Here is a 23,016-nt window from a genome sequence, read left to right as displayed (position 1 = left end):
TGTAAGGAAGGGATCCAGTTTCAGCTTTCTACATATGGCTAGCCAGTTTTCCCAGCACCATTTATTAAATAGGGAATCCTTTCCCCATTGCTTGTTTTTCTCAGGTTTGTCAAAGATCAGATAGTTGTAGATATGCGGCATTATTTCTGAGGGCTCTGTTCTGTTCCATTGATCTATATCTCTGTTTTGGTACCAGTACCATGCTGTTTTGGTTACTGTAGCCTTGTAGTATAGTTTGAAGTCAGGTAGTGTGATGCCTCCAGCTTTGTTCTTTTGGCTTAGGATTGACTTGGCAATGCGGGCTCTTTTTTGGTTCCATATGAACTTTAAAGTAGTTTTTTCCAATTCTGTGAAGAAAGTCATTGGTAGCTTGATGGGGATGGCATTGAATCTGTAAATTACCTTGGGCAGTATGGCCATTTTCACGATATTGATTCTTCCTACCCATGAGCATGGAATGTTCTTCCATTTGTTTGTCTCCTCTTTTATTTCCTTGAGCAGTGGTTTGTAGTTCTCCTTGAAGAGGTCCTTCACATCCCTTGTAAGTTGGATTCCTAGGTATTTTATTCTCTTTGAAGCAATTGTGAATGGGAGTTCACCCATGATTTGGCTCTCTGTTTGTCTGTTGTTGGTGTATAAGAATGCTTGTGATTTTTGTACATTGATTTTGTATCCTGAGACTTTGCTGAAGTTGCTTATCAGCTTAAGGAGATTTTGGGCTGAGACGATGGGGTTTTCTAGATAAACAATCATGTCGTCTGCAAACAGGGACAATTTGACTTCCTCTTTTCCTAATTGAATACCCTTTATTTCCTTCTCCTGCCTGATTGCCCTGGCCAGAACTTCCAACACTATGTTGAATAGGAGCGGTGAGAGAGGGCATCCCTGTCTTGTGCCGGTTTTCAAAGGGAATGCTTCCAGTTTTTGCCCATTCAGTATGATATTGGCTGTGGGTTTGTCATAGATAGCTCTTATTATTTTGAAATACGTCCCATCAATACCTAATTTATTGAGAGTTTTTAGCATGAAGGGTTGTTGAATTTTGTCAAAGGCTTTTTCTGCATCTATTGAGATAATCATGTGGTTTTTGTCTTTGGCTCTGTTTATATGCTGGATTACATTTATTGATTTGCGTATATTGAACCAGCCTTGCATCCCAGGGATGAAGCCCACTTGATCATGGTGGATAAGCTTTTTGATGTGCTGCTGGATTCGGTTTGCCAGTATTTTATTGAGGATTTTTGCATCAATGTTCATCAAGGATATTGGTCTAAAATTCTCTTTTTTGGTTGTGTCTCTGCCCGGCTTTGGTATCAGAATGATGCTGGCCTCATAAAATGAGTTAGGGAGGATTCCCTCTTTTTCTATTGATTGGAATAGTTTCAGAAGGAATGGTACCAGTTCCTCCATGTACCTCTGGTAGAATTCGGCTGTGAATCCATCTGGTCCTGGACTCTTTTTGGTTGGTAAACTATTGATTATTGCCACAATTTCAGAGCCTGTTATTGGTCTATTCAGAGATTCAACTTCTTCCTGGTTTAGTCTTGGGAGAGTGTATGTGTCGAGGAATGTATCCATTTCTTCTAGATTTTCTAGTTTATTTGCGTAGAGGTGTTTGTAGTATTCTCTGATGGTAGTTTGTATTTCTGTGGGATCGGTGGTGATATCCCCTTTATCATTTTTTATTGTGTCTATTTGATTCTTCTCTCTTTTTTTATTAGTCTTGCTAGCGGTCTATCAATTTTGTTGATCCTTTCAAAAAACCAGCTCCTGGATTCATTGATTTTTTGAAGGGTTTTTTGTGTCTCTATTTCCTTCAGTTCTGCTCTGATTTTAGTTATTTCTTGCCTTCTGCTAGCTTTTGAATGTGTTTGCTCTTGCTTTTCTAGTTCTTTTAATTGTGATGTTAGGGTGTCAATTTTGGATCTTTCCTGCTTTCTCTTGTAGGCATTTAGTGCTATAAATTTCCCTCTACACACTGCTTTGAATGCGTCCCAGAGATTCTGGTATGTGGTGTCTTTGTTCTCGTTGGTTTCAAAGAACATCTTTATTTCTGCCTTCATTTCGTTATGTACCCAGTAGTCATTCAGGAGCAGGTTGTTCAGTTTCCATGTAGTTGAGCGGCTTTGAGTGAGATTCTTAATCCTGAGTTCTAGTTTGATTGCACTGTGGTCTGAGAGATAGTTTGTTATAATTTCTGTTCTTTTACATTTGCTGAGGAGAGCTTTACTTCCAACTATGTGGTCAATTTTGGAATAGGTGTGGTGTGGTGCTGAAAAAAATGTATATTCTGTTGATTTGGGGTGGAGAGTTCTGTAGATGTCTATTAGGTCTGCTTGGTGCAGAGCTGAGTTCAATTCCTGGGTATCCTTGTTGACTTTCTGTCTCGTTGATCTGTCTAATGTTGACAGTGGGGTGTTAAAGTCTCCCATTATTAATGTGTGGGAGTCTAAGTCTCTTTGTAGGTCACTGAGGACTTGCTTTATGAATCTGGGTGCTCCTGTATTGGGTGCATAAATATTTAGGATAGTTAGCTCCTCTTGTTGAATTGATCCCTTTACCATTATGTAATGGCCTTCTTTGTCTCTTTTGATCTTTGTTGGTTTAAAGTCTGTTTTATCAGAGACTAGGATTGCAACCCCTGCCTTTTTTTGTTTTCCATTGGCTTGGTAGATCTTCCTCCATCCTTTTATTTTGAGCCTATGTGTGTCTCTGCACGTGAGATGGGTTTCCTGAATACAGCACACTGATGGGTCTTGACTCTTTATCCAACTTGCCAGTCTGTGTCTTTTAATTGCAGAATTTAGTCCATTTATATTTAAAGTTAATATTGTTATGTGTCAATTTGATCCTGTCATTATGATGTTAGCTGGTGATTTTGCTCATTAGTTGATGCAGTTTCTTCCTAGTCTCGATGGTCTTTACATTTTGGCATGATTTTGCAGCGGCTGGTACCGGTTGTTCCTTTCCATGTTTAGCGCTTCCTTCAGGAGCTCTTTTAGGGCAGGCCTGGTGGTGACAAAATCTCTCAACATTTGCTTGTCTATAAAGTATTTTATTTCTCCTTCACTTATGAAGCTTAGTTTGGCTGGATATGAAATTCTGGGTTGAAAATTCTTTTCTTTAAGAATGTTGAATATTGGCCCCCACTCTCTTCTGGCTTGTAGGGTTTCTGCCGAGAGATCTGCTGTTAGTCTGATGGGCTTTCCTTTGAGGGTAACCCGACCTTTCTCTCTGGCTGCCCTTAACATTTTTTCCTTCATTTCAACTTTGGTGAATCTGACAATTATGTGTCTTGGAGTTGCTCTTCTCGAGGAGTATCTTTGTGGCGTTCTCTGTATTTCCTGAATCTGAACGTTGGCCTGCCTTGCTAGATTGGGGAAGTTCTCCTGGATAATATCCTGCAGAGTGTTTTCCAACTTGGTTCCATTCTCCACATCACTTTCAGGTACACCAATCAGACGTAGATTTGGTCTTTTCACATAGTCCCATATTTCTTGGAGGCTTTGCTCATTTCTTTTTATTCTTTTTTCTCTAAACTTCCCTTCTCGCTTCATTTCATTCATTTCATCTTCCATTGCTGATACCCTTTCTTCCAGTTGATCGCATCGGCTCCTGAGGCTTCTGCATTCTTCACGTAGTTCTCGAGCCTTGGTTTTCAGCTCCATCAGCTCCTTTAAGCACTTCTCTGTATTGGTTATTCTAGTTATACATTCTTCTAAATTTTTTTCAAAGTTTTCAACTTCTTTGCCTTTGGTTTGAATGTCCTCCCGTAGCTCAGAGTAATTTGATCGTCTGAAGCCTTCTTCTCTCAGCTCGTCAAAATCATTCTCCATCCAGCTTTGTTCTGTTGCTGGTGAGGAACTGCGTTCCTTTGGAGGAGGAGAGGCGCTCTGCGTTTTAGAGTTTCCAGTTTTTCTGTTCTGTTTTTTCCCCATCTTTGTGGTTTTATCTACTTTTGGTCTTTGATGATGGTGATGTACAGATGGGTTTTCGGTGTAGATGTCCTTTCTGGTTGTTAGTTTTCCTTCTAACAGACAGGACCCTCAGCTGCAGGTCTGTTGGAATACCCTGCCGTGTGAGGTGTCAGTGTGCCCCTGCTGGGGGGTGCCTCCCAGTTAGGCTGCTCGGGGGTCAGGAGTCAGGGACCCACTTGAGGAGGCAGTCTGCCCGTTCTCAGATCTCCAGCTGCGTGCTGGGAGAACCACTGCTCTCTTCAAAGCTGTCAGACAGGGACACTTAAGTCTGCAGAGGTTACTGCTGTCTTTTTGTTTGTCTGTGCCCTGCCCCCAGAGGTGGAGCCTACAGAGGCAGGCAGGCCTCCTTGAGCTGTGGTGGGCTCCACCCAGTTCGAGCTTCCTGGCTGCTTTGTTTACCTAAGCAAGCCTGGGCAATGGCGGGCGCCCCTCCCCCAGCCTCGTTGCCGCCTTGCAGTTTGATCTCAGACTGCTGTGCTAGCAATCAGCGAGATTCCGTGGGCATAGGACCCTCCGAGCCAGGTGTGGGATATAGTCTCGTGGTGCGCCGTTTCTTAAGCCGGTCTGAAAAGCGCAATATTCGGGTGGGAGTGACCCGATTTTCCAGGTGCATCCGTAACCCCTTTCTTTGACTCGGAAAGGGAACTCCCTGACCCCTTGCGCTTCCCAGGTGAGGCAATTCCTCGCCCTGCTTCGGCTCGCGCACGGTGCGCACACACACTGGCCTGCGCCCACTGTCTGGCACTCCCTAGTGAGATGAACCCGGTACCTCAGATGGAAATGCAGAAATCACCGTCTTCTGCGTCGCTCACGCTGGGAGCTGTAGACCTGAGCTGTTCCTATTCGGCCATCTTGGCTCCTCCCCGGACGCCCTATTCTTATAGTCGCCAGCACAGTAAATATCTTGATTGACAAAGGCAACTTGTGCCAAAAAGAATGTGCAGCAATCACAGGCCATTTAATCATGGTAAATATTTCAGTGATTTTTTTAAGTCTCTAAAATAATGTAAACATAAAAATAGTATTATCCAAAAAGTAATATTTCATTATTTGTTTAAATAAAATCATATTTGCATGGGGCAGTGATATAATCTGTATTGAGACTCTAATATCCTACAAATTTTATTTCTATTTTATAGAAAGAGCACATAATATTTCTTAAATTTCAGTTCTTTTTTGCTTTAGAGTATCTTTCATTTGGGGAACTTACAGTAATTTACCTATTCAGAAAATAATGACGCAGAGGCAGGAAGAGTATCAGGAATTTAGAGTATATTTGGCACAGCTAATTTGGATGCATCATATTAAAATGGGATGATCTGCTTTGGTAATGCTTTATCTATGCACGAGAAGACATCCATAGCTCACCACTACCTTCTACTTACTGTGGTTAGTTGGTAAAAAATTAAAGTTACTGAACCTTATGGTTTTTACCAATTTAGTTTATGTAGATGTGGTTTATCTCATGGAATTACATGTACTAAAGAAAATTAAAATTTAGGGGACTACGATGCCCAAGTGGTAGTATCCTCTACTTCTCTGGCTGTTCTTTAAATAACTATCTACCTACATTTATATTTGCTTCAAGAAAGGAGAAAATGAATTGTCTTTAGAGTAGTGTGTGTGTGTGTGTGTGTGTGTGTGTCTAAGTCCTAGCATAATCATTCATTGAATGAGAAAAATTAGTCCTGGAGTTCTTTTGTTAGCTTTAAATAATCACATATACCTACAATTGGGCTCTAAGCAAGGGTGAAATCCTATTGTTTGCAAATTTACATCCCTAATGTCAATCAAAATCTGATTAAATGAAAAACGTTGAACTGAGACCAATTCATGAAAGATTTTATATTTTTAAGAGATGTCCATTGCCCTTTGAAAATGTATATCACTTTTATATCAACAAATCTATGTTCTCAACAAATTATCTGATATTAGGAATATTAGGAAATTTGTAAATAGCATTGTATCAGCTTAGATTAGATACACTGATTCCCTCTAAAAGAATTGTCTATGCATAGCAAAAAGTTCACTGGAACAAATGTTATTGTCTGTTAAGGTCAATTCTTTTTAAAATAAACTTTCTTATCAACATGTAAATTGGTGAATATATCTTGCAAATAATTTTATTTTCCTGTGTGTTCTGTGCTCATAATGGTTTTTGTGTGTATATATGCATAATATTTACTTTTGATTATGGTTCTTATGAAGTATTTATACAGGTATACAAGTTCCATGTGTGTGCTTATAAAGCAATTTTTAAACTGTAGAAATCAGGAAGAGTTTAAACAATTTTTTTAGTTAGAAATGGATGGAACTTGATGTGTATTGTCAAGAAGTAAATGAGAATGCTTCCTTTTTTAAAGGAGATAATAGTGACTCTAAAAAAAGGCAAAACAAACTTCATGCCACTTGAGAGACAATAAAACACAGCTGTTTTCAGGTTGTGGCTAATGGTTCTAAATAACACGACCTCTGCCTAGTCAACAGCATGTTTTCTACCTAGGAAAACAATCTTGTCATTTATTTATAATTGTTTACTGCAGATTCTGCCGCTTGAAACTCAAGTTTAGTTGTATAAACAAATCAGCGTTCCTAGAACTCAACCCAGAGTCACGCGCATTTACTCTGTGAGTCCCGTCACGGTGAATTTCCAGCCAAATGCGCCCCTTTTATGGCTCTTATGGCTCGGAGGCCGCACCGGGCACGTTTGTGGAAGAATTCACTGCTGAATTGAAGTCCTTGATCAAGTAATTGAAGTTCAGGCAGAAAGTATCAAAGCGGGCGAGCAGTCTCCCGCTCGGGCCCTCTCTCGCGCTCTCTTCCGCGCGCCAGCTTCCGCAGAGGTGGCGGGGTCCGCGGGCCGCACGCCGGGCCCGGGCTTTGATTGCGGCGGGAAGTCCTCCGAGACATGAATGTTTCAGCGCGGCGCGCGAGGTGAGGGCCGCGCGTCCAGGTGTAAGCTAGCAGGTTGTCGCTGACATCTGTTTGCAGCGGCGGCAGCGGCCTCCCCATCCCGCAGCTAGCGGCCGGATTGTCAGCGGAGGTAGTTGAGAGCGGCAAAACCGTTTTGGTCTCACTCTCGCTGCCTGGAGGCCTGAAACACCAAAGGTAGGAGTCGGGGTGGACACAGCTGCGCTCCCAAACTTGCCTTAGGCACAAATAAGAGATCTAATGTAGTTTGACTCCGTTGCGGTGGGGAGACGAGGACAGAAAGCCACTTCAGAGACAACTTAACGCTGCAACATCTGCCGCCAAGTTTCCAGGGAGTGACAGGGGACAGCAGGTACAGATCGAAGTCTCCACATAAACAACCTCCATTAAGCCGTGGACTCTTTTGAAAGGCCTCCATCAAACATGCCGGAGTCCGCAGCAGGAGTTTGTTTGGTTTTCAAAGCAGTGTTTTGTTTTTCGCAGTAACAAGGTAATTTATAAATGATGCATTACCATGCGTTCTCCTTTTTGATTTGAAAAGAGAGAGTTAGAGAAGCAGAAAGGCAAAGAAAGAAGAAAGCGCAGCACTAGTTTTGGAGTAGTTCCACAAACCAATTAAATCTCCAAGGAGCTTCTTGGCTGTAATCGAGGTTATGTTAACCTTCAGAAGGCAGTCTCTCCTCACCAGCAAGCAGACATAAAAGTGTGTATACAGCGGTTGAAGAATCCTAGTAACACTCGTCAAGTACATCCACCATTTGTTTTTAAACTTTTAAGGTTTCTTATTACACGGAGATGAAATTAAATTAAATCTTTGCCGATGGATGTAATTTTTTACTAAAACAAAATTTACAAAATTGAATTGACTTTAACTAATTCCTATTCATAAAGACTTCATTCCTATAGTTACATATAAAAAATAAAATGTTAAGTCAGAAGTAAACAAACATTTTCTTTTTGGGCGGTTCTCCTCCTCTACTACCTACATTCAGCCAGAAACAAAAAATTCAAGAATGTGTTGACTTTTCAATGGAAATACTGCAAAAACTCCTTAATTTTGCACACGTAAATATGACATAATAGAATTGGTTACAATATTATCCTGATAAGAAAGAGCTCCTGGGAATGGTAAGATAATAAAGATTCTATAGTAACGTAAAATATTATCATTCGTAAAATTTAGGCTCCCTTTCTTGAGAAAAAGGAGAGATGCTGACTCAAAAGTATCCTTTGGAGAGGGAAGTAGCCAGGGAGCAATGGCCAAAGGGCAGATGGTAGTATGTAGCAAAGTTTTTATGTCTTGTTGAAATAAGCAACATAAATATTTTTCAGTATATTGAGAGGACTTTTGTCAGTTGTGCAGATGTAATTTCGTTTTTTTGAAATGATTGACGGCGATTGCTTTCTCAAGAATATTCAGTCTGACAGAACACTATCTCAATCCTCCAATTTTTTAAATCTACAGCAAAACCCACAAAAATATCAGAGAAGACAGGTTGCACAAGTTCATTTAAAAGGGACCCGAGAATCCTGATAACGTCAAAGGCAAAGGCTTTGGGCTCTACCTCTTGTTTACATCTCTAATTTCTAAATTTATGCTCGTGCCTTTCAGTCCTGCTTGTGAATTTTCAGGCTCACACTGGCCTTGCCCTTTTTAATGGTGGCTTCTTAAATGATTACAACCTTCTCAAGGATGGCTTTGTACTCCATTATGTTAACAAATCACCCAGTGCTTGGCACTCTTAAACCATGTCATCTTCAAATATAATAAGCATCTGGATGGTAGAGATTCTGCATCACACTGCCATTATGTTCCCATCACAGTTGCGAAGTGTAACCACTAGTGGGTCTTTCAGTGCAGATTGGAACCTTCACTCAATTGATTTGATGCTTCAAGTGTCTTCAGTACCTAGAATTATGCTGCTAATGACTGCATTCTTAAAAAAAATCATTAAAATATATGTATATTGATAGCCTGGGCTACTCAATATTATTACCCCAAAAATCATTGTTTTGAAAAAGGGCTACATTTTTAAATTTAGTTTTTAGTTTCCATCCAAATATTTTGTGCCATATAGCTGAACTTTGTAACAGATTTTAGGGGCTTTAGAAAAAATAACCCTTTATTGTAGCCTAATTGAGTCAGTCCTATCATGTATAAAATGCCCATGTATTTCTATTCATTTCCTTTTATATATTAAAGTGACAGAGTAGAAAATATAAAAATGTTTAAAAACTGTAAACCCATTGTTTACCTTTTATTTCTATAAGATCTGAAATTTGTTATAGTTTCTTTAGGGCGATTCTGATGCAACAAAGCTGGAAAAGAATACCACTAGTCTTTTCCGCTCTTTATATTATCTTTCATTATTATTATCTTTGGCCTTTACCTTTCAGGGCGTCTTTAAAATACCATCATATTCCATTTAAATTAATGGAAGTAATTAACTTCAGTTTATACATATTTGAAAGATAAATTTTTACTAGAATAATCCATCTCATGAACATGCCATTTTTACTACTATCCCACTGACTGTTTTAGGAGAGTGTGTATATATATATGAATGTGCATATAGCATGTTTATAACTATATATATGCATATATTCTTATAGGACATATTTGCTCACTGTGTATATCATGAACTGTTTCAGTGGAAAATAACAAATTCATGAAATAGAATGCTTTTTGATAACATTTCTTAGTTTCAATAAAATAATCTCTTAATTAGGTATATAAGTTGGCAAAAGTGTTGACTCAGTCTGGTTTCCTGAAGTGAAATGCAGAATATGCAAAATTTAATCATTTAAATTACCAAAAAATATATTTTTTTTCAAAGAATCTATAAACAGAACTTGGGTACTTAGTTGTCTCCCCTCCCCATATAGGCATTATTAGCTATTTAGTGGAGTCATATACATTTTCTGTATTAATTTCCAAGTTTAGATAAATATTTATCTTGAGTAAAATTTCATCAGCAACCTTTTGATAAACAAGAAACAAAAAATGATTAGTGTAAATACCTCTTCTCAATGCACTGGTTTTAGAAATGTAACTTCTTTTCATCATCATCAGTGAGCTTTGGCACTCTGAAAGAATACTTTTGGCTGAGTGTGGGGCTCACACCTGCAATCCCAACACTTTGGGAGGCAGAGATGAGAGAATCCCTTGAGTCCTGGAGTTTGAGACCAGCCTGGGCAACATAGGGAGACCCCGTCTCTACAAAAAATACAAACAAAATATTAGCCTGGTAGAGTGGAACATGCCTGTAGTACCAGCTACCCGGGAGGCTGAGGTGGGAGGATTGCTTGAGCCAGGGATGTCAAGGCTGCAGTAAGCCATGATCACACTATTGCACTCCAGCCTGGGTGACAGAGCAAGATCCCATCTTAAAAAAATAACAATAATTAAAAAAAGAATACTTTCAAAATGTCTTGGTGGTCCAGGACTAAACACATTATTTTCTGAGGCTCAACGTATGGCTGTGATGTAGAATCAATTAAATCATCCAATGGGGAGCAGAAATGTCAACACAGATACAATTTTAAGCTTTATTTTCCATTTTTTGGTTACTTTATGTATGGTTTTTATATACTTTTTATTACAGAGGCTTAAATATATATTTAAATAAATTACTATAATTTCTAATAATTTACAGAAATCTACATTATTCTACATGTGTTAAATACTCATTTTTAAATTTAGAGCTCAGAAGACCCAGTCCAAGGGGGGATACAGTGCATCTTTTTTGTAGACAGTTTGTTACTTAAATAGAATGCATTATGATGGTGCCTTTGTGTCTACCAGAACCCCATTTATAAGTTTAGTTTAAGGAAAGCTTTATAACTCAGTTAAGGAAATTGGCTTGAGTAGGAAGCTTTTATTGCCCCTTTATTCCTAAAAATGTACTTATAAATGCCTTTTCAACTTTGCTAAATATCTCTCATTTTTATTTATAAATAAAACACTAGGATTTGTATAACATAGAAGCTAATATATAGTAGTATGCAATAGTAATAATTATACTAAGTAATTTCTTTAAAAATTTTTCCATATAATTTTTATTTATATTTTCCACTAATTGTACTCTGAATCAAATTCCAACCTCTAACATTTAAGAATTTTGAAACTGATATAATTTTGAGTTATAAAATAAAAATAATTTATTTTTCAAACTTTGCAAATAACATAAAAAAAGAGAGAAGGAAACAGAAAATAAGGAGAAATGAAAGAATACCCCTGGACATTTGTTTACCATTTTATTTTTTCTGGCTTTGGGTTAACACTTTCTTAGTTTCAAATAATTACAAGTTTTTTTTCTCCTTATGCTTTTAAAAAACTTATAAAGTTGGGATAATTTCTACAAACTCATTGCCATTTCACAATAATTTTATTCTCTGATATACATCATCTCTTTCTCCTTAAAGAGCTCTTTTCACTTGGAAAATGTGGCAGAAAGATACTTTAGGTTCCCATAATGCTTCTTAGTAAGCAGGTTAGTATACTGAAAATAATACATCATATATATTAAATTTCATAATCATATCCAGTACTAAGCATACTTTTGTTTTGAATCATATTAGAGTTTTCTAATTTTTTTAAATCAAGCACTTTTGTTTTCTAGAGCCATTTCCTGACATGAATGATTTCTTAATAGTTAATTATGAATTCACTTTATTTTATTTAAATAGCTTTAAGGCGGAACCTAGTGCAGATTGGTGAGACATACACACAGACACATGCACATATGCCCATCTCAAATCTTAGTTGCCTAAAAGAGTTAGTAAGTCTGTAAAACATTTCAATAAAACGTTCAAATATCATGTTTACATACGTAGCATACAGATAAATTTCTGGAGTAAAGAGGGATTACTCTCCCATTATCTTTCTCTAATTCTTTCATTTCTCTCCCTTGTCTGACTTCCTAACATTGATTGAGGCTTCCACTGCTTTGTCCTCATTGTTAGAGACGTCGTTAGACATCATTCTTAGACAATGCGACCTTCCCTCTTGAATTCCACTTGCATGTCTCTGAGAGCTTATATGAATTTTCCGCTTTGACCCCCTGTTGTCACTACATTATCTGTGTTTAGCGGGACTTAGCCATTTTCCTCATGTATGTCTTTCAAATTGTAGTTATATAACTTTTCTCTCAGTCATTTGCTCTATCCCTCACCAGATGTATCTAAACTGAGGCCCACTAGACTTAAGCACACCATTGTGGTTCCCACAGCTCAGTGAGCAGGGTCAAGATTTTAACTTTCTAATTCTGGGTACAGTCTCCTATGCCATCAGATAACATAATTACCCTGTGATATGCATGAGATATTGATTTGAGGAACAGAATTTTGTCTATTATAGTTCCTCTTAGTTTTATTATAATTAAGAATATAAATTATAAGTTAATATGTGCATTAGATCCTAGTGATTCATAAGAGAGGTATCATTTGAATTTGTAGAATTTAAACATTTCTGTTATCTTTACTTGTTATTTTACTACTTATAAATTAAGCTACTGAGAAAAATAAGACAGAACAATTCTGAAATTTAACGTTTGAATTATTTTCTGCAAAAATGTGGCTAAGGATGATGATACAAAAAAATGTTATTTATAAGGGGCTAAAATTAGTCAGTTTGGATGATTAATTTTTAAATTATAATTAAATCTATTGAACATTTTCTGAATTATAAAAACATAACACAATCATTTTCCTTTAGGCTAAATTTTGAACAAATGAAGGCTTTTAATTTTTATTGTCTTTTTCAGAATTTTTTTTTGCTTGCAGTTGCATTTTTTTCATTTTTTAAAAACATTTGATCTTTATTTCATATTCTATTTAAGAAAAATTTTCAATGATCGGAATTCTTGTGAGATCTGTATTTGTCCTAGCCAAATCATATATTTTAATGTTAATTAATCTTTTGCATAATCATCTATGGTGCTGGCCTATATGTGGCTTATGTTAGCTCTGAGTGCCTCATTAGTCCAGTTTACAGAAACACTGGCTCTTCTCAACAAACAGTGAGAAGAGAATTTAATTCAGTTACTACTCTTCAGAAGAGGTGGGACGGTTTTAACTGTCCTCCGAATCCAGATTTATGAACTAGTCTTATGCTCTTAACTAGATTAGTTCCTTTTCCATTAACTGCTTAAAGTAGGACAGCTGTCCGAGCTGTTGGTTGTAAATTTGCCAGTGTCTACTTCCTTAATCTCAGATACAAAAAGCAGCAGATAACAGGATCAAAGTTTCAGGACCTTCGTTTTTCACAGCCTGAAATGAGCATGGAGGGGCTCATGAATGAGAGATTGAAAAGATGTGAGGAAGTGTTACATTGGAGAAAAAGGGATGACTTCTGTCATTAATCTTAATTAATTGCTAAGAGTTTTAAATCTGAGTTATTAATACTGATGTTAAGCTCTTAATACACTTTTCATGCTCTGGCATCAGATACTCTTTTATGAGATAAGAAGTTTAGGAAGGAGAGAATGTGTGTGTGTGATAAAATATTTTCATTTACATATTTCAAATATTTCCTTGGGTTAATATTCAGAACTTCACCTTTTGACAGTTACTGTAGGGCAGTTAGGAATGATAGACAAGTACCAATAAATTCAAATAAAATCCCTAGGTATAGCAACAGCAGTAAATCTGAATAATATTACTTTCATGTTTACCAGCATACAAAATACTTCACTGAAGAGGAAACATCAGATTATGAGGTGATATAGAAGGAGAGAGAATCAAGAGCTAGAAAATGAGACAGAAAAGAAAAGGAAAAAAGATGAAGAATAGGGAAGAGATATTATTTTAATTAATAATTTGCAGGCAATAGGAAAATGAAGTGTCATTTAAATAATAAACTATAAATTATGTTTTTAAGGTTGTATATTTCACTATTGCAGCCCTAATCACTTGGAAGTAAACGGATTGAAACTTGAAATGACTAAACAGTCTTTTCTTAAAATTTTGTTTTCCTTCCCTTCCTCCCTGCGTTGCTGTTCCACTAATGTTTGTCTAGTTAATACCTTTTTACCATTAAGTCTATATTATTATTCTGTGATATTTTTCAATGTGAAATTGCAACTAACCATATTGTTTATGAGAATTTTGGCCACAAAAAATGGCTTCAAGGGGAAATCTTTAAAAAACAGATAAGGCTCTAAACTTCAAAAGTATGATTTTCGGATTATATCTCATGTTCTCCATTTATTTGGACAAAATAAAAAGAAAAGCTCTGTCATGAAAATATAGAGCACACTGAATTATTTTAGTATTTACACATATATCTTACCTCTAATGACAGTGAAGTAAATTTCAGTAGTAAAGTATAATCAGTAGCTTAGATATTCTTAAGTTTTCTACAAATTTAAAATCACAAATTTGGCTTTGAGATACATTATACTTTTCTTTTTGCAGCAATGTTTTCTTCCTTTAATGATTATCTTTAAATGTAAGTAGGAAAACATACAAATGAAACAGTGTTCATTTGTTTCATTTATCAACCCATTTATTTTTGTACCTATTAATTAATTATTGAAGATGCAAAAATCTGCAGGCATTAAGGATTTAGATTTTATTTATAGTCTGTGGATAATAACAGCTTTGAATTGGACAATAACATGATGCAAAAGAAGTTAGAATTAGACTCTTGGAGGGTTCTCAAATTTGTAAAAGGAATGGAAATAATATGTGTTTTCCTGAGTAGCTTAGCCCTATCTCAATGTTTCTGCCTTTGTAGATAGTCTTTCATTATGGGCTCCAAAAGGAATCACATAAAAATTATGATATAGCAGGTCATATTATATGTGATATAACTGGTCAAATTGGTGGATTTGGTGGATTGTCAAGTGGTCAAGTGGATTCTTAGGTGAAAGAACACTTTTTTCCTAATATAAATCCACTCTGTTTTTTAGAACACAAATTTAGGTTCATTAACTGAAAAACAGGGATTATTGGCTTCAGCTATTTTTCTTGATTTGCCCGGGGTCTCCTTCCTTGCTTCTTGGGAATAAAACTTGGGTTTCCAATACTTCCAATGCTTCTATGAGTGTGTGTGTGTGCGCGCGCATGCATATACTTGTGTGCATGGTGATGTTTGTGTCTAATGGGAGGTAGCAAGGTATTGTAGTTGTTGAGGGAACTCATAATTTCAGGAGAGGGGAGTATACTTTATTTTTATAGAGAAGGGTCAGAACTCCGATTCAGCTAACAGTCACTGAGCACCTACTATGTCTTATGTATGTTTAATTATCACATTTTTGTCCTATCTGTGTTGAGTCGGTGTCATACTGTTCTCATTTAACAGATGAAGAATATGAGATCTAGAGATGATTGGTGAATTTCCCAAGGGTACATTGCCGAATGTAACAGAATCTAGATTGAGAGTCAGGTTTTAAAATCCAGTGAACGCTCGTTATTCCATGCTGTCATTTTACAGTGCAGCTCTTGATTCCTCTACCTATTCAGGCAATAACTGACTGACTTAGGGCAATTATACATGTAGGGAAGCACTTTTGAATTTCAGTTTTGAACCTGATTCTTCTGGTGCCTGGGTTATCAACTGTGTATCTGTGTTTTTACTGATACACATATATTTGACATATATTCAGAATGCATGCATATTACTCTATAATACACATACACAACATACATTTAATTATATAGGCATCTATAAATAATATTTAATATTTAGAAGTGGCAATAAATTCTACAGCAAGTTTATACAGAATAAGGAATTTTTACATCACAAGAAACCTTAGAAGTTGTGTAATTCAACCCCTTCGTATACTGCAACTTCCATCCCTACTTCAGTTCTCTCCAAGAGGGACAAGCGTGTTCAAAAGCACAAGAGGGATGAACTAGCTTATATATTCCAGGAATTGCACATTGCTTTTCAAACTGTAGCAAGAGATTGGCAGCTGAGAAGGTGAGTTATGCAAGAGATTAGGAGCTGGGAAAGTGAGTTATAGGAAGGAAGAAAAATTAGAGCTATTCCTATAGCCCTTGGTGGCATATTGGAAAGAACACTGCATTGGGAGTCAGGGGAGTTGGGATCTCGATACTGTCATTTATCAGCTTCAGTCCGGCGCAAATTTTCTAAACCTTCTGGTCTTCGGTCTTCTCATTTGTGTATAGAAAAATAAATGATCAAAAAGTTACCTTTGAATTCTAGCAGTCTTGTTTTTTTAAAAAAATCTAATTTCAACCAACCCAGCTCTATGAATATGATATTTTTCCTATGCTCATAAGGGTATTCCCAAAACCCTGCACATTGCCCTCAGAGAGGAGGCCTTAACAATATTTGAACAGAATAATTCATGCAGGTGGAAATTCTAACTTATTGTTTAGAATATGTTTAAATTAATTCATACTTTTTTTAGTATATAGACATTTCATGAGGCCAGCAATAATGAATAAATAAATATTTTACAAGTTACTATAAGACTAAAAAAATGGCATATATTCTGCATAGTATTTGAAAATATGTTCAAGGGACTATAAAAATACTATGATTCTAGATCCATAATGGATATCTTGCTACTGGTTACACTTTAAAATAATTTGAAAATAACTGCATATGAAAGAGAGTAAGGGAAATACAGATTTTAAGAGCTCTGTATATTTATTTAAATTTTATTCCAGTTTCCTCTCTATAAAATTTGTCTATTTCTCACTGATTTTCTTCTTTCAAAATAAGAAGAGATCAATGTGTGATATTAGATTATCTCCATTGTCATTTTGATATGCTGTATTTTGCTGTCTTGTGTCACAACTGTAAAATAATTTAAACACAAGCTATCATTTAATACTGTTATAAGCAAATGAGTACTAATGTGTTCTTGTCATTAAACACATATAGATACTGGAACTGTTCTCCCATTGGGTCACATTGAAATTGATTTTCCAACTTGACCTAACAATAATGGACAAATGTTAAATGAAAATCAATCACTTTTACTTAAATCAGCCTAATAGACTCATTTTATTAAGTGGTCTTTTTACCTGCAGCTAACTAGATGACAAATAACACTTGTCTAGCCTCTGACCTCTGGCCTCTGCCCTCCGGTCTGGCTTCTGAATGCGTTTAAAAAACCTCTCAGTACAGATCATGATTTTATTCTTATATGACATATTCTTTATTAATTAGATGAAAGTATATTTCAGATATTTTTTATAAATAGAACAAAATCCTGAATTAATATTATTTCAATCACAAATTCATTCTTTTTAAAATCTGGGGTCTTGCTCTCATCTGGGCTGGAGTCCAGTGGCACATTGCACAAGGCTCATTGCAGCCTTGAACTCCTGGGCTCAAGTGATCCTCCTACTTTAGCCTCCTGAGTAGCTAGAACTACAGATGCCTGTCACTGGGCCCAGTTTTTAATTACAAATTTTTAGGCCCTTAATATTTCAAATATTTCAAACATGTATCATGTTACTCTAATTATCAAAACATCTCACAGTAAAATATTTTTATTGCCATTTTAAAGATAAGGAAACTGAGACTTTAAAATGTCAAGTAAGTCTGGACATGGTGGCTCATACCTGTAATCCCAGCATTTTAGAAGGCCAAGGTGGGAGGACTACTTGAGCCCAAGAGATTGAGGCTGCAGTGACCCTGCACTTCAGCCTGGGCAACAGAGCAAGACCTTGTCTCAAAAACAAACAACAACTATATAGAGATCTCAAGTTGCCAGATTCATGCAGGTAGGTAGGTAATAAGTGGTATTAACTCTAACTTTAAATAGGTTATTGAAAAATTTAGTTCGTGTAAATTCTGCTTTATGTTTCAGAATTTATTGGTCAGTTTTCCAGAAAATTTACAGCAGTTTAGAGTTTAGTGTTTTAGTTATATTAATATGTTATAGGCCCAGGTGTTGAATTAAGAAAAATTTAACAATAAAATTGAAAAGGCCAACATATAAATGAGAAGTACTAGTGAACTATTTTTGTAACATAGGAATCACTAGTGAATATTTAAATATAATACATACAAAACATAAATATTAAGTATCTTAGTCATATTATTGTAAATATTGGCGTCAGAAAATTATTTGTGGATTGATTTTTAAGCACCTACAGATATTGTCCAGAGGCCAAAACTTAAGAATAATTATAAAGTTATATACTTTACTTAAAAAAAAGAAATATAATTAGTGGTAGAAAATAAATCAACATGTTAGTCTTAATATTAAAATATTAAAATTGATTGTCATTTCTAACCTGTAAAATCAAAGCAAAAGGAGTTCTATCTGGAGGCTAAGATTATGACACAATCCCAAATTATATATTTCAATTATCAAAGCTCTCAGATTTACTATGGAAAAGCCATCATTTTTAGTTTAGGATACTGTTGGCACAGTCATAATTTATTATTTATAATTCCCTCTTAAAATCTAGTTTTCAGAATCTTTCATCATTTTAGACTTCCGTTAAATTTACTGTGAATTTACTGTTTATTTCCCAGATCATTCTGAGAGCTTGAGCTCTTATTTTGATCTATGGAGCAACTGATTTCACTAATCAAATTTATTCTTTGATGTATCTGAAAATAGTGTGCCCAAAATCATCTTACAAAAATTCAATCCTGAAATGGTTTTTAAAGTCTTAATATCTCTTCAGGTACGTTAGTGAAAACTGAGGCAAATGGGCTGCCAGCTATTTTTTTGATGAGAAATCCTTAGTGTGTGAGTACTGGGAACTGAGGGTTGAGCATCTGGAGGTCGGCCTCCTCTTCAGTCTGCCTGCCTTCAACACTAGGTCCTGTGGTAGACACCTCAGTCCTTACATTCCCTATTTCACATGGAGGGGCCAAGGGTTCCCCATGATACAGCTGTCATAGAACTTGTTGTTTAGATGAGGCATCTTGAAAGACTTTCATGTTGTGGCATGCTAATATTATATAATATTTTGCTGAGAAAGAAAGTTTTATCAAATTATAAGAAATAGGAGGTTTCCTTTATTCCTAGGGCATCATTCTTTGTACTCTCTGTTGTATAAAATAATAATATTACTATTATTAATAATAATAAGATGGTTTTTATAACTGAAGGCATAAGAAAAATACCCATGTAAACTACATTTTAAGGCTTTTTATACTCTTTAGAGCAAACAGTTTTTCTAATCATTTATAAACATTTACTGCTTTGTTTCTGAAATCTTAGAAATAATAAACAAGTGAAATTTTGGATTAATTAATAGTATTAATGAAAATACAACATATTCTCTGTAAGATTACAGATGAATATTAAAACTTAAATTATAAGTGCTATAATTTTTCTTTTTGGCATGTTGGAGCATTTAACACATGAGCATTTAAACACATTTCTGACTTTTCTAAATTTTTGGTGAAAATATTTTCTAGTAAGATTAGACAAAGGAAAATGAGCTACAAGTTATCAACAGGTTCTCGAGAAAAAATTTTTTTCTTTAAAAAATCTAGTGAATACTAGATAATCCCTACCTGCTAGGAATTTATTACAGTCTAGATGTAGTGGGGGATAAAGAAAAGCCTCAAAAATTATAACCCAAAGCAGAGCAAGCAAAATGCAATTAACAAATAAAAACAGAAGATAAAACCAGTTGTATAGTCAAGATGGATTCTAATTAGAATCTAATCTAATTAGAATTATATATATGATATATATTTATATATAAACAGCAAATAGTTTATATATACCTATTATATATATTTGAAAACTCCACAATTATAATTCCACATCAAATAATTTTGGTGGTTTAAAAAAATTTGCTAGAATTAGGACATGATAGGCATAAAATAAAATTAGCCATTTTTTCCTGAGTACCCACTATTTTCAGGCAGTCTTTGAAACCCCAAAATATTTAATACATAGTTATCAACAAGTTTGTAATCTACTCAAAAGGGCAACAATCCACATATACAACGTAAAATAATGAAATATTTAAACATCAATTCAAGGAAGTAACAGAAGAGATTACACAAAAGTGTTGCCTAATTAATTTCTAAATGAATTGTCTGGACATTAATTGCTGTTTGAGTTATTAAGGAAGAATACTTCAGACCAAGAGGTAAGGTGAGGTTTTATAGAAGAGAGAGTTGAGTTAATCTTGAAGGATTTGTAGAGGTAGAGAAAGTAGGAACATTTACATTTGTTCTGGGACAGTGATTCAATTATTTTCTTTAGCAACTTTTGAGCTATATGTGGGGAAATAATAGAGAATAAATCTAAGTCCCGTTTGGTTGTTCTTTTTGTTGTTTTTTTTTTTTTGTTGTTGTTGTTTTTTGAGATAGAGTCTCTCTCTGTCCCCCAGGCTGGAATGCAGTGGCGCTATCTTGGCTCACTGCAACCTCCGCCTCCCAGGTTCAAGCAATTCTCCTGCCTCAGCCTCCTGAGTAGCTGGGATTACAGCTGCCACCATGCCTGGCTAATTTTTGTATTTTTAGTAGAGACAGGGTTTCACCATGTTGGCTAGGCTGGTCTCAAACTCCTGACCATGAGTAATCCCCTTCCCTCAGCCTCCCAAAGTGCTGGGATTATAGGCATGAGCCACCACGCCCAGCAGAGTCCTGTTCAGTTCTGGAGAATGTAGTATATTAGACTAGCACTTAGCTATGAATGTCCAACAAATATTTATTGCTGTTTCTCAACTTTAAAATTTTAAATAAATCTGTGTCCCATCAAACAAAAATATTTTATTGAATTTTGTTTTCTAATTTTGTACTAAGACTTCATGAAAACAAGTTGGGTTTTTTGTTTGTTTTATTTTGTTTTCCTACAAGTATTATCTTGGTGACAGGCAGTATACTCTTAGAAGGACTGAAGGTAAGAGCAGAAGGCAACTGGGCTAATGCAGGAACCACCTTGTTAGGGCCCCCATGAGACAGTAGCACTCCATCAGAATGGGACAATCTGAGTTGAAAGGGGGATGCTAGCAGGACTTGATTACTATGTGGAGCTAGGTGTGTAGCAGAGAAGAGAGGGAGAGGAGAGAGAACCTGAGGCTGGTTCCATGGAGTTCAGCTTGAAAGAAAATACTGGAAATGCTCAGTAGAAAGTTAGAAATACTGGATTTGGCAGGAACGTCAGGCTTGGACATGCACACTGAAGAGGCTTTTTTGATCATTCAAACTGTAGAGTGTTTAAGGGACTGAGGAACAGTCTGGTCTACTTTAATAATGAATATTTTCTCTCTCATGGGTCAAAAGTGGCATCTGTTTTGTTTTGTTTTTTAAAGTTTGAAATAGCACCTTGACGTCTTCTTGGCATAATGTTATTTTCCAATTCTTTGCCATTTTTGATAGCATGGAATGTACAAAAACTGAAGTATTGGAATAATCCACAATGGGAGTGGAGAGGGGAAAGAAGAAATAGTAGCTTTGGTTTGAAATGTTTTGAAGCTATTAAATTGCAGCAGCTATTTTCATAGCTTCTTTCTTTCAAGAGATACACTTTTGTAGCCACTGGAGATGTGGCCTTTTTTCTTCCTAAAATGGTGGAGGTTTTTGTAAATCGACAAGGGTAATAACTAAGAGATGAGGGTCTATGGGGTCTTAAGGGCCATTGTATCTGAAAAATGGGTGTTAAATAATGACATTTGTGAGGAATAGCACAAATAGTAACTATTAAATTCTTAAGTAGACTGCAGAAAGAATATGAATAGAGATGATATAGTAGTTTTGGGCTGTATTTCTTCAACTTTTTTAGGATTGATGATTCAGTGGTTTTAGGATGACTATTTAATTTAAAAGAAGTGAACAGATATTGAACAAAATAATAAATATTGAGTCAGAAATTTTTAGAAATTGAAGTTTTCTAATAGTTTTATAGATTTTATTATTCAAAGACAATAACGTTGATATGATAGCTGTTCTTGTCCCTTAATCATAAAATTTCAAATATAATCATCAGTTATATACTTTATTTTTAAAATATTGGATGATAATTAATAAACTATAGTATTTGTAAACTGATGTATTTGCAGCAAACATTTGCAAGAATGAAATGTATTTACTAGCAGAAAGTAATTTTAGGTAAAATTTGATCAACTTGTTCAGGGCGGAACTTGGCTTAGGAGAAAACTAAAATTTATTCCATACCTTCTACATGCCATCTATTTTGCATTCCTTTTCTTATTTAATCCTCATATGAAGTAGGCTTTCCACTATGTATGTTGGAGGTTAAAAAAGGTTAAACAGCTGGTAAGTTGTGACATTTAAACTCAGAGCTTCCTGACATCAAAGCTTCACTTACATTGGAGTTAGAAACTTAAAAAGATGATCTACCAAGAAATAAATTCTTGGGCCACTGAAGACACTGAGATTTGTTCAGTACATTTCTGTAAGCAATACTTATCATTTGTACTTTTTTAACCTGCCATATTAGCCTGTACTTTTCCAGGAAGACCATAGCGATAAGGATTATGACAGTATGGTCACCCACCTGGGACAGTGACAGCTGCTGCAGCTGAATCCAGTCCTTGTCATCATTAATGACCTGCATTTGACACTTTATCCTAGCCATCCTTGTTTAGTGTTCAATGTCTTGCATTGGAATAATTACTACCTGTCACCCTCTATTTAACAGATAACTCTTAGTCATCCCAAACATGTAAGCATCATGTCATAATGTGCCAAACCCATGTTATTTCTGTGTTCTCATCCTGTTTGTGGGTACTTGCGTCCTCTGTCTTTCCTTTTTTATAATGTTCAAATACATTTTATACCTAAATTGATGAATTTTCATTCTGCCACTCATATTAAAAGGATTTTTCTTCTTAGTTTTATAATAATAGCCAGACATTTATTAAGAGGTAATATTTTCTGAACATAAAGCATGGTCACTGGATTTAGAGTCTCTTTATCCTGTTAAAAATATTGGAGAGCTAAAGGAGAAATCAGAGAAAGGAATAATAGTGCTGACTCAAAGAAATGATGATGATGAAATTCAAAGTGTTTAAATCATGTACAGAGCATATCATAATGCCTACATTAAAGACTTTGCTTTAATTCAAAGATCTAGGTTACCTACAGAGACTTTTCTCTGTTTCTCTGTTTCTGTTTCTCCTCCTCCTCCTCCTTTCCTTCCTCCTCCCCTTCCTTCTCCTTCTTTGCATTTAGTTTGAAAGA

General features: G+C 35.7%; 1 protein-coding gene across 3 annotated transcripts in view, besides 2 other annotated features; it reads left to right on the top strand.

The window, feature by feature from the left end:
• ANTXR2 (ANTXR cell adhesion molecule 2) overlaps positions 1 to 23,016 on the top strand; it is a 172,327-nt gene that overhangs the window by 101,723 nt on the left and 47,588 nt on the right. The window lies entirely within an intron of this gene.
• Positions 7,089 to 7,650: an enhancer, noted in NCBI's record as "NANOG hESC enhancer chr4:80885254-80885815 (GRCh37/hg19 assembly coordinates)". NCBI's record gives its function as "activates a minimal SCP1, AML or CMV promoter by ChIP-STARR-seq in primed H9 embryonic stem cells {active_cell/tissue: H9 hESC(primed)}" and the evidence as "EXISTENCE:reporter gene assay evidence [ECO:0000049][PMID:30033119]".
• Positions 11,929 to 12,129: a silencer, noted in NCBI's record as "peak5064 fragment used in MPRA reporter construct". NCBI's record gives its function as "represses an SCP1 promoter by STARR-seq MPRAs in K562 erythroleukemia cells {active_cell/tissue: K562}" and the evidence as "EXISTENCE:reporter gene assay evidence [ECO:0000049][PMID:32103011]".

This window comes from Homo sapiens, chromosome 4 (assembly GCF_000001405.40).
Source record: "Homo sapiens chromosome 4, GRCh38.p14 Primary Assembly".
Lineage (NCBI taxonomy): Eukaryota > Metazoa > Chordata > Mammalia > Primates > Hominidae > Homo > Homo sapiens.
The sequence above is the reverse complement of the archived record's forward strand: the minus strand, read 5'-3'. Positions and strand labels throughout refer to the sequence as shown.